The sequence below is a fragment of the Homo sapiens genome, chromosome 3 (assembly GCF_000001405.40).
Source record: "Homo sapiens chromosome 3, GRCh38.p14 Primary Assembly".
Taxonomy (NCBI): Eukaryota; Metazoa; Chordata; class Mammalia; order Primates; family Hominidae; genus Homo; species Homo sapiens.
In genome coordinates this window covers 78,578,379-78,594,536 of record NC_000003.12, presented here as the reverse complement: position 1 = coordinate 78,594,536, position 16,158 = coordinate 78,578,379, and the positions used below count along the sequence as shown (strand labels likewise).

Sequence of the window (16,158 nt, the reverse complement as noted above, 5' to 3'; positions counted from 1 at the left end):
GAAAATATACCTTGGTAATTTACATTCACTCAGGAGAATCAGATAAAGGTTCGACAGTGACTTACTCTTGTTCATGTTTCCCCAGAAGCAGAGCCTGCGACAAAGACTTGGATGCAAACAGTTTATTTGGGATAGAATCCCAGGAAGTGGGAGTGTGAGGGGAATAAAATTCAATATAGATCCTTCAAAGTAGGTGAAGGTGCCTCTACCAGGTACTCTACCGGCTCTTCCCAGGAGCACACAGAATGCCTAACAGAACTTTTCACTGAAGGACAGTAGCCCAAAATTATTCCCCATTAGCTGAAGGTTTCAGGCTGCAGGCGGGGCAGGGGATTTCACTTCCCGGTACTAGTGAGCAGACCAAGTGTGAATGGAAGACCCTAAGGCAGAAAGAAGACATGCACATGGCAGGTAGTTGAGTTGGGAAGGTGCCAAAATGAGGTGAGTCTGGGATCAAAGGGAACTTTTGGCCCTAGCAAAACCTCAAAGGCATCTATTGCTGGCAGGATTATTGGAAAATGTTTTAGTATGGTAATAAAAATCAAGCAATCATTAATTTACCATTTTTCAGATTTAAGATAAATTTTCCTTCATAATGTACACATATGAAGTTAGTTATAGGTATTCAAATTACTTTCACATTGGTGGAGTTTTTACCAGTTATCAATTTCTGGTACTATAGGTGTTGAATTTAATTGACATTTAACATATTTTGAAAATTTTTTTACAGTATTAGCATTGAAACAAAACGAGCAAAAAGCATGGAGAAACACCATTGAGATGTGACTTGGATCCTTAGAGGAATAACCAGTTACGCATTTTCTGGCAAAGCAACAAGCTTTACAGTACCACAGAAAGTAAAATATCCACAGTAATTCAAGTTGTGCCTTCCAACACACACATATATGCACACACACATATACAATGTTATTGAAGGCCAGTAAAATTATGAAATTCCTCAAAATAAAGTGAAAAAAAGTTTCAAGCAAAGTTGAGCATGGTGTAACCAATTTATGTGTTTTGCAAAACTATCGTTGAGACATTATATCATGACAAAAATTGGTAGCATTTCACAGTGACACACAAAGTTTTTAAATTCAATGAAAATTACATTAAAAAGTAACATGTATACAATCCCATTGCCTTATATTGGACTCATTATATTTACATAGATTGGATACTGTTAGGGACTGAATGTTTATGTCCTCCCTGAATTCATATGTTAAAATTCTAACCCCCAATGTGATGGTTTTAGGATGTGGGGCGTTTGGGAGGTAACTAGGTTTTGATGGTGGAGGCTTCATGAATAGGATTAGTGCTCTTATAAAAAACAACAACAACAACAAACAAACAAACAAACAAAAGCAACCCTAGAGAGCTCTTTCTTCTTCCTGCAATGAAACAAGGAAATGTCAGCAGTCTGCAACCCAGAAGAGGGCTATCACCAGAAGTCAGCTATGCTAGCCCTGTGATCTTGGACTTCCAGCTTCCAAAACTGTGAGAAATACATTTCTCTTGTTTACAAGCCACCCTGTCTATGGGACTTCGTTACAGAAGCTTGAACTGCCTAATACAGGTACTTCTTTTTAAAATTCAAATCTTTGACATAAATCACTAGCTCCACATCTAAGTTAATCTTCCCTCTTTCAGAAATTCTCTTTCTGTTTGGGAAAAACTCTGAGCTCTTCAACTTTGAGTAAAACAGCTTTTAATGCCTCTGGTTCAAGTTACTTTTATAGCCTGCTCAGCTTCAGAAATTTAAAAAAGTAACCTGGGCAAGTAGGGCTTCTTTTCCTGCCCAGTACCTGTACTTTGGCCTGCCTTCCTTGAAACTTTCAAGTCCTCCTCTGGTGCCTGAGATGGGCCTGGGAAGGCAGTGCCAATAGGACTGGGTACTGGAGCCTGGAGGAGGACTAATGTAGGCCCAGGCCCCCTGCATATGGGATTAATATTTGAGGAGCTGCACAATTCAGAATAAATACCTGTGGGGTACTCCTGGGACCCTGTAGCTGGCCTTCTGGTTCCAGAAGAGTGCAATCTATTGAGATCTACTATGTGCTAGAAACTAAGATAAACTCTAGAAGTGCTCACAATGTAATGGGAGGCAGACTGTATTAGTTCATTTTCACACTACTATGAAGGAATACCTGACGCTGGGTAATTTATAAAGGAAAGAGGTTTAATTGACAGTTCTGCATGGCTGGGGAAGCCTTAGGAAACTTACAATCATGGCAGAAGGGGAGGCAAACACGTACTTCTTCACATGGTGGTAGGAGTGAGAAGAATGAGAGCCCAGCAAAGGGAGAAGCCCCTTATAAAACCAACAAATCTCATGAGAACTAACTCACTATCAGGAGAACAGCATGAGCAGCATGAGGGTCACCACCACCATGATTTAATTACCTCCCACCGGATCCCTCCTACAACACAGGGGGATTATAGGGACTACAGTTCAAGATGAGATTTGGGTAGGGACACAGCCAAGCCATATCAAAGACATGTACAACACTGTAAACAATGTAACAGAGGTATTTACACAGCAAATTGTTAGCTGATTGCTTATAATGGCAGACATTTTTTTCATAGGATTGAGTGAGGTTATGCTACCAGAATGGTACTGACATGCCTGATTTGAGATGACTTAAATTATGACATAAACAGAGGCCCTGCAGAAGCATTTGCCCTCACCTGGTGGCCAGAGTAGCCCTCAACATCAGGAAGGGGCGTCTTTTAAAACCAGCCTAATAAAAACCTGAGTTTTTATATGGAATGCCTATTTATTAATAGGCCTTATATTTTCCACAATGAGGGAGTATAGATACTATGTATTCAATATATTACCTACCTGTTCTCTGTAGAAGTTATGCACAAGTCATCTCTCTAAAATGCCTCTTCTCTTGGTGTATAAAAGTGAGTGTTTATGTGTGTGTGTGTCTGTGATTGTGGTGGGGAAGTAAAAATAGAGTAAATGAAGTAGGTGGGGCTTTATACCTGTTTTTGTTTTCAAACCTACAAGACAAAATTATGCAACATGTCTTTAAGGGCTTGGAACATGAAAGGCATTTGGAAAAGCTACTGTGTGGAATACCATAGGAAGTAAGTGATGAAGAAATGGATTACTAAAAAAATTGGTTATTTATTCCGTACCTGCTATAATTTCAACATACAATCAGATTAAATCTTAGCAAAAATTGATGTGGAATGTCTAGTCTTAATCTATTTGGATAGATGAAGAAAGTAATATTTTCAAAGACTAGGAAAATTGCTGAAATTCACAATACAGAAATACAAATAGAGTGTGGATATTGTTTCAAGTCTAGCACTCTTTCCAAAAATTAAAACTTAAAAAACAAACAAATAACATGTCCTCACCACAGAAAATAAGTAGTTGAGGTGATGGATGTGTTAATTAGCTTGATTTAATCATTTCACATTATACATATATATCATAGCTTTGTATTCCATAAATATATACAATTATAATATCAATTTACAATCAAATTAAAAACAAACTGTCCTTCAAGAATGAAAATCAAGTTAACAAACGTTAAAACAATAACCAACTTCCATTCTTAAATTAATTATAACTGAAATGTGAAAAAGAAAAAGTGTCCGTGTTGGCAACAGGGAGAGAGATAGATGCTAAAGGTGCTTTTGCCAAATATTTAAAAGCACTATCATCATTCATTAATATGTAAGTTTTTAAATATTGTTTAGGCTTCCAAAGACCACTTTTAAAAATAAGAAATTACAAATGATAATTTCCAAGCATTGCAAATGTGCATTTATTTGCATATAAGATATACAATCCCATATTAATATTCCTAATATTAGAGAATTTTAACAATTTGACTTAAAAGCAATTTAACCTTCCAAGTATACTTACCTTCATTTTATCGAAAAAGAACTTGAGAAGTTTTTCAAGGTTATGGAACATTGCTTCTTAAGTCAGAATTTTTAATTGCATTGCCAAACCCAGCAATCTCATCGATCCCACTTATGCCTCTCTCTATGGGAAAGCAAAATATTTTGGAGAGGTTTTAACATTTTTTTTAAATCTGACTTTTTAAAATGAGCTAATACATTTATAATAATACCTTATCATTTAAAAGTACTATGCTTGTAGTACTTTGGAGAAAAATAATTCAAGAAAACTATTAAGTTGCTTAGATTAATAATGTACCTATGCATAGGATTAACATATATTCAAAAGTTAATATATTTATCTGGATGATTTAAGATCAATTGTTAATTAAGCTGCACATGTTTCAAGTGTGCATAATTAAACAATCATTTTGAATAAACAGCATTCTGCCCTATAATATAGTGCCAAAAATATGACTACTGAACTATTCTAAAAAATTAGTCACACTGCAACATAATCAAAAGAGTTTAATTAATTTACTCATCACCTTTTTCTCATACTCTTTACTCTGATTTCCATCTGGGTATTCATTCATTGATTCAGCAATCTATTGAGCATTCATTACATGCTAGTAACTAAGATAAACTCTGGGAGTGCTCACAGTGAACGAGCTAAGATAAACTCTGGGAGTGCTCACAACATAATGGGAGGCAGACATACATAACAATGTAAACAATGTAACAGAAGCATTTAGGCAGCAATAAAGAAGTTTGTGGAAACTCCAAACAGGAATTGAAGACATGTTCTGTTTGGATTATGAAGGCTGAAAAAGTCATCAATTAATTTATAACATAAAAAGCTTTCCTGTCTCAAAATTATACTCCCTTCTACTTAAAAAAGCATGTAGAATACATTTTAAAATTAAGGTAAATTTAGATAAACAAAAAGGCCAGTTATTAATTATGTTTGAGAAATGTGATTTGGATTATTTGTTTTTATTCAATTTCCATCATTCTCCAACTAAAACAGTTTTAGAATCACACAAATCTAAAGAGATAATCAATAAAAGCATAAAAGGATTACGTGATAAAATACTTTAAGAGGATTGGAGACTAAATCATTTCCCTTTACATTTAATTTATCTCTTTTATGTAGACTGTGTCAGTAACAATGCTTCTGAACACAGATTGTAACAAAACACATAAAATCCAAGTCAGTGTAGCTAAGCAAGTCAGGGTAGCTAATTTATGGGGTCAGGAACTGAGAAGTACAACAAAAGGGCTCTGAGCAGACTTGGTTCAGTCAAGGCTCTGCCTCCATTTGTTTGTGAATCTCTTTGCTCTACTTGGCTCCCCATGTTGCTTTCCTTCTCAAGCTGTTATCAATATGGCTGCAACAGACCACTGATCAGTCTCAAGCCACATGCGATGATATTCAGAGGCATAGCGACAAAAGCTAGATAGCTTCTGAACAGTCTCTGAAAATGCATACCAGTCATCTGAATTGTTATGCATGCTCTTTGCAGGACTAATTCTGTGTCCAGAGAACACCATATACTGTTTGGCTAAGCCTGTGTTCCCTTAGACCCATCAGGTCCTCTACTGGAATGGACTTATCTGTTACCCTTGAAGTATGTGGAATGTTTGTTGAAGAGAATGAATGATGAGAAAGCAACCAACAGTGAATAAAACACACACCTCCTCACTCATACATTTAGCAATTAGTCTGTGCTCTGTATTTAGCCCTTATATATGTCAGGCCTCTGAGCCCAAGCCAAGCCATCACATCCCCTGTGACTTGCATGTATACGCCCAGATGGCCTGAAGTAACTGAAGAATCACAAAAGAAGTGAATATGCCCTGCCCTGCCTTAACTGATGACATTCCACCACAAAAGTGTAAATGGCCTGTCCTTGCTTTAAGTGATGACATTACCTTGTGAAAGTCCTTTTCCTGGCTCATCCTGGCTCAAAAAACACCCCCACTGAGCACCTTGCGACCCCCACCCCTGCCCACCAGAGAACAACCCCCTTTGACTGTAATTTTCCATTACCTTCCCAAATCCTATAAAACGGCCCCAACCCCTATCTCCCTCTGCTGACTCTCTTTTTGGACTCAGCCCGCCTGCACCCAGGTGAAATAAACAGCCATGTTGCTCACACAAAGCCTGTTTGGTGGTCTCTTCACACGGACGTGCATGAAATTTGGTGCCGTGACTCGGATTGGGGGGGGGACCTCCCTTGGGAGATCAATCCCCTATCCTCCTGTTCTTTGCTCCGTGAGAAAGATCCACCTATGACCTCAGGTCCTCAGACCGACCAGCCCAAGGAACATCTCACCAATTTTAAATCAGGTAAGCAGCCTCTTACTCTCTTCTCCAACCTCTCTCACTGTCCCTCAACTACTTTCTCCTTTCCACTCTTCAATCTCTCCCTTCTCTTAATTTCAATTCCTTTCATATTCTGGGAGAGACAAAGGAGACACGTTTTATCCGTGGACCCAAAACTCTGGTGCCGGTCACGGACTGGGAAGGCAGCCTTCCCTTGGTGTTTAATCATTGCAGGGAGGGACGCCTCTCTGATTATTCACCCACGTTTCAAAGGTGTCAGACCACGCAGGGACGCCTGCCTTGGTCCTTCACCCTTAGCGGCAAGTCCCACTTTTCTGGGAAAGGGGCAAGTACCCCAACCCCTTCTCTCGTCTCTACCCCTTCTCTGCTTTTCTGGGGGAGGGGCAAGTACCCCTCAACCCCTTCTCCTTCACCCTTAGCGGCAAGTCCCACTTTTCTAGAGGAGGGGCAAGTACCCCAACCTCATATCTCTGTGCCCCAATCCCTTATTTCCATGACCCGACCCCTTATTTCCATGACCCTACCCCTTATTTCTGTGCCCCGACCCCTTATTTCTGTGCCCCATCCCTTATTTCCACACCCCGACCTCTTATCTCTGTGCCCCAACCCCTTTTCCCACTTTTCTGGAAGGTAAGAACCCCCAAACCCCTTCCCCCCTTTCTCTACTCTCTCTTTTCTCTAGGCTTGCTTCCTTCACTATAGGCAAACTTCCACCCTCCATTTCCCCTTCTACTCCCTTGGCCTGTGTTCTCAAAAACTTAAAACCTCTTCAACTCACACCTGACCTAAAACCTAACTGCCTTATTTTCTTCTGCAATGCCACTTGACCCCAATACAAACTGGACAGTAGTTCCAAATAGCCAGAAAATGGCACTTTGAATTTTTCCATCCTGCAAGATCTAAATAATTCTTGTCGTAAAATAGGCAAACGGTCTGAGGTGCCTGACGTCCAGGCATTCTTTTACACATCAGTCTCTTCCTAGTCTCTGTGCCCAGTGCAACTCGTCCCAAATCTTCCTTCTTTCCCTCCTGCCTGTCCCCTCAGTACCAACCCCAAGCATCGCTGAGTCTTTCTAATCTTCCTTTTCTACAGACCCATCTGACCTCTCCCTTCCTCCCCAGGCTGCTCCTCGCCAGGCCGAGCTAAGTCCCAATTCTTCCTCAGCCTCTGCTCCTCCACCCTATAATCTTTTTATCACCTCCCCTCCTCACACCTGGTCCGGCTTACAGTTTCGTTCCGTGACTAACCCTCCCTCTCCTGCCCAGCAATTTACTCTTAAAAAGGTGGCTGGAGCTAAAGGCATAGTCAAGGTTAATGCTCCTTTTTCTTTATCCCAAATCAGATAGCGTTTAGGCTCTTTTTCATCAAATATAAAAATCCAGCCCAGTTCATGACTTGTTTGACAGCAACCCTGAGACACTTTACAGCCCTAGACCCTAAAAAGTCAAAAGGCCGTCTTATTCTCAAAATACATTTTATTACCCAATCTGCTCCCAACATTAAATAAAACTCCAAAAATTAAATTCCGGCCCTCAAACACCACAACAGGATATAATTAACCTCACCTTCAAGGTGTACAATAATAGAACAAAGTTGCAATTCCTTGCCTCCACTGTGAGACAAACCCCAGCCACATCTCCAGCACACAAGAACTTCCAAACGCCTGAACCGCAGCGGCCAGGCATTCCTCCAGAACCTCCTCCCCCAGGAGCTTGCTACATATGCCGGAAATCTGGCCACTGGGCCAAGGAATGCCCGCAGCCCGGGATTCCTCCTAAGCCACGTCCCAACTGTGTGGGACCCCACTGAAAATCGGACCGTTCAACTCACCTGGCAGCCACTCCCAGAGCCCCTGGAACTCTGGCCCAAAGCTCTCTGACTGACTCCTTCCCAGATCTTCTTGGCTTAGCAGCTGAAGACTGACACTGCCCGATCGCCTCGGAAGCCCCCTGGACCATCACGGATGCCAAGCTTCGGGTAACTCTCACAGTGGAAGGTAAGCCCGTCCCCTTCTTAATCAATACGGAGGCTACCCACTCCACATTACCTTCTTTTCAAGGGCCTATTTCCCTTGCCTCCATAACTGTTGTGGGTATTGATGGCCAGGCTTCTAAACCTCTTAAAACTCCCCAACTCTGGTGCCAACTTAGACAATACTTCTTTAAGCACTCCTTTTAGTTATCCCCACCTGCCCAGTTCCCTTATTAGGCTGAGATACTTTAACTAAATTTTCTGCTTCCCTGACTATTCCTGGACTACAGCTATATCTCATTGCCACCCTTCTTCCCAATCCAAAGCCTCCTTTACATCCTCCTCTTGTATCCCCCCACCTTAACCCACATGTATGGATACCTCTACTCCCTCCTTGGCGACCGATCATGCACCCCTTACCATCTCATTAAAAACTAATCACCCTTACCCCACTCAACGCCAATATCCCATCCTGCAGCACGCTTTAAAAAGATTAAAGCCTGTTATCACTCACCTGCTACAGCACGGCCTTTTAAAGCCTATAAACTCTCCTTACAATTCCCCCATTTTACCTGATCTAAAACCAGACAAGCCTTACATGTTAGTTCAAGATCTACGCCTTATCAACCAAATTGTTTTGCCTATCCACCCCGTGGTGCCAAACCCATATACTCTCCTATCCTCAAAACCTGCCTCTACAACCCATTATTCTGTTCTGGATCTCAAACATGCTTTCTTTACTATTCCTTTGCACCCTTAATCCCAGCCTCTCTTCGCTTTCACTTGGACTGACCCTGACACCCATCAAGCTCAGCAAATTACCTAGGCTGTACTGCCACAAAGCTTCACAGACAGCCCCCATTACTTCAATCAAGCCCAAATTTCTTCCTCATCTGTTACCTATCTCGGCATAATTCTCATAAAAACACACGTGTTCTCCCTGCCAATCGTGTCTGACTGATCTCTCAAACCCCAGCACCTTCTACAAAACAACAACTCCTTTCCTTCCTAGGCATGGTTAGCGCGGTCAGAATTCTTACACAAGAACCAGGACCACACCCTGTAGCCTTTCGGTCCAAACAACTTGACCTTACTGTTTTAGCCTAGCCCTCATGTCTGCGTGCAGCGGCTGCCACTGCATTAATACTTTTAGAGGCCCTCAAAATCACAAACTATGCTCAACTCACTCTCTATAGTTCTCGTAACTTCCAAAATCTATTTTCTTCCTCATACCTGACACATATACTTTCTGCTTCCCGGCTCCTTCAGCTGTACTCACTCTTTGCTGAGTCTCCCACAATTACTGTTGTTCCTGGCCCAGACTTCAATCTGGCCTCCCACATTATTCCTGATACCACACCTGACCCCCATGACTGTATCTGTCTGATCCACCTGACATTCATCTCATTTCCCCAAATTTCCTTCTTTCCTGTTCCTCACCCTGATCACACTTGATTTATTGATGGCGGTTCCACCAGGCCTAATCGCCACACACCAGCAAAGGCAGGTTATGCTATAGTACAAGCCACTAGCCCGCCTCTTAGAACCTCTCATTTCCTTTCCATCGTGGAAATCTATCCTTAAGGAAATAACTTCTCAGTGTTCCATCTGCTATTCTACTACTCCTCAGGGATTATTCAGGCCCCCTCCCTTCCCTACACATCAAGCTCGAGGATTTGCCCCACCCAGGACTGGCAAATTAGCTTTACTCAACATGCCCCGAGTCAGATAACTAAAATACCTCTTAGTCTAGGTAGATACTTTCACTGGATAGGTAGAGGCCTTTCCTACAGGGTCTGAGAAGGCCACTGCAGTCATTTCTTCCCTTCTGTCAGACATAATACCTCAGTTTAGCCTTCCCACCTCAATACAGTCTGATAACAGACGAGCCTTTATTAGTCAAATCCGCCAAGCAGTTTTTCAGGCTCTTAGTATTCAGTGAAACCTTTATATCCCTTAGGGTCCTCCATCTTCAAGAAAAGTAGAATGGACTAAAGGTCTTTTAAAAACACACCTCAGCCCTCTCCCTCTCCCTCTCCCTCTCCCTCTCCCCACGGTCTCCCTCTCATGCGGAGCCGAAGCTGGACTGTACTGCTGCCATCTCGGCTCACTGCATCCTCCCTGCCTGATTCTCCTGCCTCAGTCTGCTGAGTGCCTGCGATTGCAGGCACGCGCCGCCACGCCTGACTGGTTTTGGTGGAGACGGGGTTTCACTGTGTTGGCCGGGCCAGTCTCCAGCCCCTAACCGCGAGTGATCCGCCAACCTCGGCCTCCCGAGGTGCCGGGATTGCAGACGGAGTCTCGTTCACTCAGTGCTCAATGGTGCCCAGGCTGGAGTGCAGTGGTGTGATCTCGGCTCACTACAACCTACACCTCACAGCCGCCTGCCTTGGCCTCCCAAAGTGCCGAGATTGCAGCCTCTGCCCGGCCGCCACCCCGTCTGGGAAGTGAGGAGTGTCTCTGCCTGGCCGCCCATCGTCTGGGATGTGAGGAGCCCCTCTGCCTGGCTGCCCAGTCTGGAAAGTGAGGAGCGTCTCCCTAGGAAGTGAGGAGCACCTCTTCCCAGCCGCCATCACATCTAGGAAGTGAGGAGCGTCTCTGCCCGGCCGCCCATCGTCTGAGATGTGGGGAGCGCCTCTGCCCCGCTGCCCCATCTGGGATGTGAGGAGCGCCTCTGCCCGGCCGAGACCCCGTCTGGGAGGTGAGGAGCGTCTCTGCCCGGCCGCCCCGTCTGAGAAGTGAGGAGACCCTCTGCCTGGCAACCACCCCGTCTGAGAAGTGAGGAGCCCCTCCGCCCGGCAGCCGCCCCGTCTGAGAAGTGAGGAGCCTCTCCGCCCGGCAGCCACCCCATCTGGGAAGTGAGGAGCATCTCCGCCCAGCAGCCACCCCGTCCGGGAGGGAGGTGGGGGGGGTCAGCCCCCCGCCTGGCCAGCCGCCCCATCCGGGAGGGAGGTGGGGGGGTCAGCCCCCCGCCCGGCCAGCCGCCCCGTCTGGGAGGTGAGGGGCGCCTCTGCCCGGCCGCCCCTACTGGGAAGTGAGGAGCCCCTCTGCCCGGCCAGCCGCCCCGTCCGGGAGGGAGGTGGGGGGGTCAGCCCCCCGCCCGGCCAGCCGCCCTGTCCGGGAGGGAGGTGGGGGGGTCAGCCCTCCGCCCGGCCAGCCGCCCCGTCTGGGAGGTGAGGGGCGCCTCTGCCCGGCCGCCCCTACTGGGAAGTGAGGAGCCCCTCTGCCCGGCCAGCCGCCCCGTCCGGGAGGGAGGTGGGGGGGTCGGCCCCCCGCCCAACCAGCCGCCCCATCCGGGAGGGAGGTGGGGGGGTCAGCCCCCCGCCCGGCCAGCCGCCCCGTCTGGGAGGTGTGCCCAACAGCTCATTGAGAACGGGCCAGGATGACAATGGTGGCCTTGTGGAATAGAAAGGCGGGAAAGGCGGGGAAAAGATTGAGAAATCGGATGGTTGCCGTGTCTGTGTAGAAAGAAGTAGACATGGGAGACTTTTCATTTTGTTCTGCACTAAGAAAAATTCCTCTGTCTTGGGATCCTGTTGATCTGTGACCTTACCCCCAACCCTGTGCTCTCTGAAACATGTGCTGTGTCCACTCAGGGTTAAATGGATTAAGGGCGGTGCAAGATGTGCTTTGTTAAACAGATGCTTGAAGGCAGCATGCTCGTTAAGAGTCATCACCAATCCCTAATCTCAAGTAATCAGAGACACAAACACTGCGGAAGGCCGCAGGGTCCTCTGCCTAGGAAAACCAGAGACCTTTGTTCACTTGTTTATCTGCTGACCTTCCCTCCACTATTGTCCCATGACCCTGCCAAATCCCCCTCTGTGAGAAACACCCAAGAATTATCAATAAAAAAATAAATTAAAAAATAAAAATAAAAAAAAAATAAAAATAAAAAAATAAAAACACACCTCACCAAGCTCAGCCACCAACTTAAAAAGGACTGGACAATACTTTTACCACTTTCCCTTCTCAGAATTCAGGCCTGTCCTCGGAATGCTACAGGGTACAGCCCATTTGAGCTCCTGTATGGATACTCCTTTTTGTTAGGCCCCAGTCTCATTCCGGACACTAGACCAACTTAGACTGTGCCCCCCCTCAAAAAAAAAAAATTTGTCATCCCTACTATCTTCTGTCTAGTCATATTCCTATTCACCATTCTCAACTAACTCATACATGCCCTGCTCTGGTTTACACTGCCGGTTTACACTGTTTTTCCAAGCCATCGCAGCTGATATCTCCTGGTGCTATCCCCAAACTGCCACTCTTAACTCTTGAAGTAAATAAATAATCTTTGCTGGCAGGACTGTGCTGAATCTCCTTAGGCACTCTCTAATCAGATATCCGGAGTCGTCCCAATTCTTAGACCTTTTATACCTGTTTTTCTCCTTCTGTTATTCCATTTAGTTTCTCAATTCATCCAAAACCATATCCAGGCCATCATCAATCATTCTATATGACAAATGTTTCTTCTAACATCCCCACGATATCACCCCTTACCACAAGACCTCCCTTCAGCTTAATCTCTCCCACTCTATGTTCCCACGCCGCCCCTAATCCTGCTTGAAGCAGCCCTGAGAAACATCGCCCATTCTCTCTCCATACCACCCCCCAAAAATTTTTGCCACCCCAACATTTCAACACCATTTTGTTTTATTTTTCTTATTAATATAAGAAGGCAGGAATGTCAGGCCTCTGAGCCCAAGCCAAGCCATCACATCCCCTGTGACTTCCACGTACGTATACGCCCAGATGGCCTGAAGTAACTGAAGAATCACAAAAGAAGTGAATATGCCCTGCCCCGCCTTAACTGATAACATTCCACCACAAAAGAAGTGTAAATGGCCTGTCCTTGCTTTAAGTGATGACATTACCTTGTGAAAGTCCTTTTCCTGGCTCATCCTGGCTCAAAAAGCACCCCCACTGAGCACCTTGCGACCCCTGCCCCTGTCCACCAGAGAACAACCCCCTTTGACTGTAATTTTCCATTACCTTCCCAAAGCCTATAAAACGGCCCCACCCCTATCTCCCTCTGCTGACTCTCTTTTCGGACTCAGCCCGCCTGCACCCAGGTGAAATAAACAGCCATGTTGCTCACACAAAGCCTGTTTGGTGGTCTCTTCACACGAACGCGCATGAAAATATATAGTTTATGCGGTAACTTTTTAATGTACTTAATTATGTATTTATTAAAATTTTTGTGGGTACATAATAAGTGTATATATTTATGGGGACTTTTTAAATGGCTACAAATTTTTGACACTTCTCTCATCAAGAGGCAAGGTCTATGACCTGTCCCTTTGAATCATGGTAAGATTGTGACTGCTCCAATTAATAAAGAAAGGTTATTGACTTCTGAGTTTAGGTCATTCAAGTTCATACAACTTCCTCCTGGTTCTTTCCACATTTCCTCTGCAGAAGCTTACCCTTGGAATCCAGCTGCTCTGCTGTAAAAATCCTAGCTACCAATAAAGCTCTCGTGTGGGTCCACAGTCCCAATCCAGTCCAGCCTGTTATGGGATTCTGATGAAGATTCCAATTCTTAGCCATTTGAGTCATCACAGTATCACAACATCCCAGCTGAAGCCCCAGACTTCATAGAGAGCTGTAAGCTCAAGGCACAGATTTCCCAGCTGTGCCTTGAATTTCTAACCTACCGAATCCATGGGCATAAAATTAATGATACTTTATGCCACTAAGTTTCAAGTGGTTTGTTACACAGCAGTAATCAGAACTTCTTAAATGTCTCTAGTAAACAGAAAATCTATAAACTTGGGAAAAGGAAGAAAAAAGATCTAAAAATAATGGGAGCTGCCAAGCATTTAAGCAATAGCATATGTTTTGAGATGGGAGGATGATGTTTTTGAAATAGGATGATGGTAAACAAAACCCTATATTATATGTCCAGTATCATCCTTAATGATTCAAGTAGTACATTGTTCAGCTGTAAAGAATCTGCTGCCCCTAACACGCAATTTAAGTCACTGGTTCTCAGGTTTTACTTTATAAACCAGAAATGTGATGTTTCTTCCTCTTAATTGTATGTGCCAGAGAAGCTACAGGAGTTTTTGAGAGAAACCTGAAGTTCAGGGGGAAACTTTTCTGCTTATAATTGGGGCCTAAATCACTCACTTGATTATAACAATCAAATAATTGCCCTTGCTTTCTCTTCCTATCTTTAATTTTTTTGTTGTTTATTCCTTCTTTGTAACTTCACCAAAACAAGAAAAACCATCAGGTATAAGAATAGAAAATATACTAATATTTAATCCCCATAGTAGAAATAAATGCTTAGTAGGGAAAGTATAAAATTAAAAACTTGTAGAGTATTTCCCTGCTTCTTTACAATATTTCTGGAATTTTACAGTTTGCAACATATTTTCAAACAGATTTTAAAATATAATATTCATCATACCTTAAAATATTAGTTTGCATATGAGATAATGGAGGCTCAAGGAGGCTCTATGTCTTGCCCAAGGTCACACAATTAGGCTAGGACTCACACAATTAGGCGAGGACTCATACACAGACAAAAGTCCATTGTTGGTTGGGTGTGGTACATCATGCCTGCAATGCCAGGACTTTGGGAGGCCAAGGCAGGAGTATTTCTTGAGCCTAGGACTTAAAGACCAGCCTGGCAACATAGAAAAGTCCCATCTCTCCAAAAAAATAAAAATAAAAAATGAGCAAGGTGTGGTACATTCCTGTGGTCCTGTGGTCTAAGCTACTTGGGAGACTTAGGTGGGAGGATCGCTTGAGCCAGGGAGATGAAGGCTGTAGTGAGCTGTGATCACACCACTGCACTCAGCCTAGGCAACAGAGTGAGACCATGTCTCCAAAAAAAAGTGTATTGATATAGATTTGACTTCAAAACATTGTATACCAAGCCTCTGCTTCCATCTATTTATAATTTATATATTAGTATTCTTATATTAATGTTTTATAGAGAGTAAAAATAGAATTTTAATGGAGTGATGAAATGCATCACGGTGTATCACCTGAATTTACTGCATTACCAATTTAAATAACATATGTATTTTAATACCTTCCCCAATTTCCTTAAGGACCTCATCCCTTTGCAGGTATTGAATTGCTAGTCTTTCCCCACCTAAAATTATCCAGGAGTTACCGGAGATTACTAAATCCAAAGGGGGATTCTGAAGCATAAAATTCAGAGAGATCAGTGGACTGAAGTTGAATATTGCCATTCATTTTTGGAATCTGGGGTCAGAATTATAACTAGTCCTGCACAGTTATTTATGAACTTCCAGGTGCTATTGCCTTCTAGGAATCTACCTAAAACATAGTACATTCTCATGCTCACTGTCAAGGAAATAGATCATATTTTTGACTGTATTCCATGGACTTCCAGGATAGCATGTTGGCCTAGAAATATCTCACTCCCAAGAACCTTTAGTGATTGAACCAACATCTCCTGCTTAGGTTCCCCATTTTCTCAGGGTCTGGTTTGCCTTTGTATTAGGCTTTTGTCTGGAGCTATTTTGGTTTACCAAAAACATCTCATTACCTTCTAATGCAAGGTAAATGTGTTCTCAGTGCAACCACCATAGGTATACTTCTAAATTATAGTTTTGGTCACCGTTTCTTCCTTTCAAAGATCTCTTGGCTTCTTGTCTCACTCACAGTAAAAAGGCAATACAACGTGAGCTCTCCTCCTCCTTACTTGTATCACCTACAATTTTGGCCTCCAGTGCCGTTGCCTCCTTGCTCTTCCAAGAATAAATCTGTTAAGCTCCCACCTCTGGATATTTTCATCTGATATTCCAAGACTGATCTATTTTTTTAGCTATCCCCATATCTCACTCACTTATGTCATGTCTTTGCTTTCTAAATAAGGTCTTCTGTGACTACTCTATTTCAAATTGTACCTCACCAACCATACTTTCTCTTTTCACGCCAATTTTTTCCCATAGTAATTGTCCCTTTGGCATTTTCCTTGTTAATCAACTGT

At 43.6% G+C, this 16,158-nt stretch overlaps 1 annotated feature.

Annotated features, from left to right (window-relative positions):
• Positions 12,550-13,411: an enhancer, noted in NCBI's record as "OCT4-NANOG-H3K27ac hESC enhancer chr3:78630276-78631137 (GRCh37/hg19 assembly coordinates)". NCBI's record gives its function as "activates a minimal SCP1, AML or CMV promoter by ChIP-STARR-seq in naive and primed H9 embryonic stem cells {active_cell/tissue: H9 hESC(naive and primed)}" and the evidence as "EXISTENCE:reporter gene assay evidence [ECO:0000049][PMID:30033119]".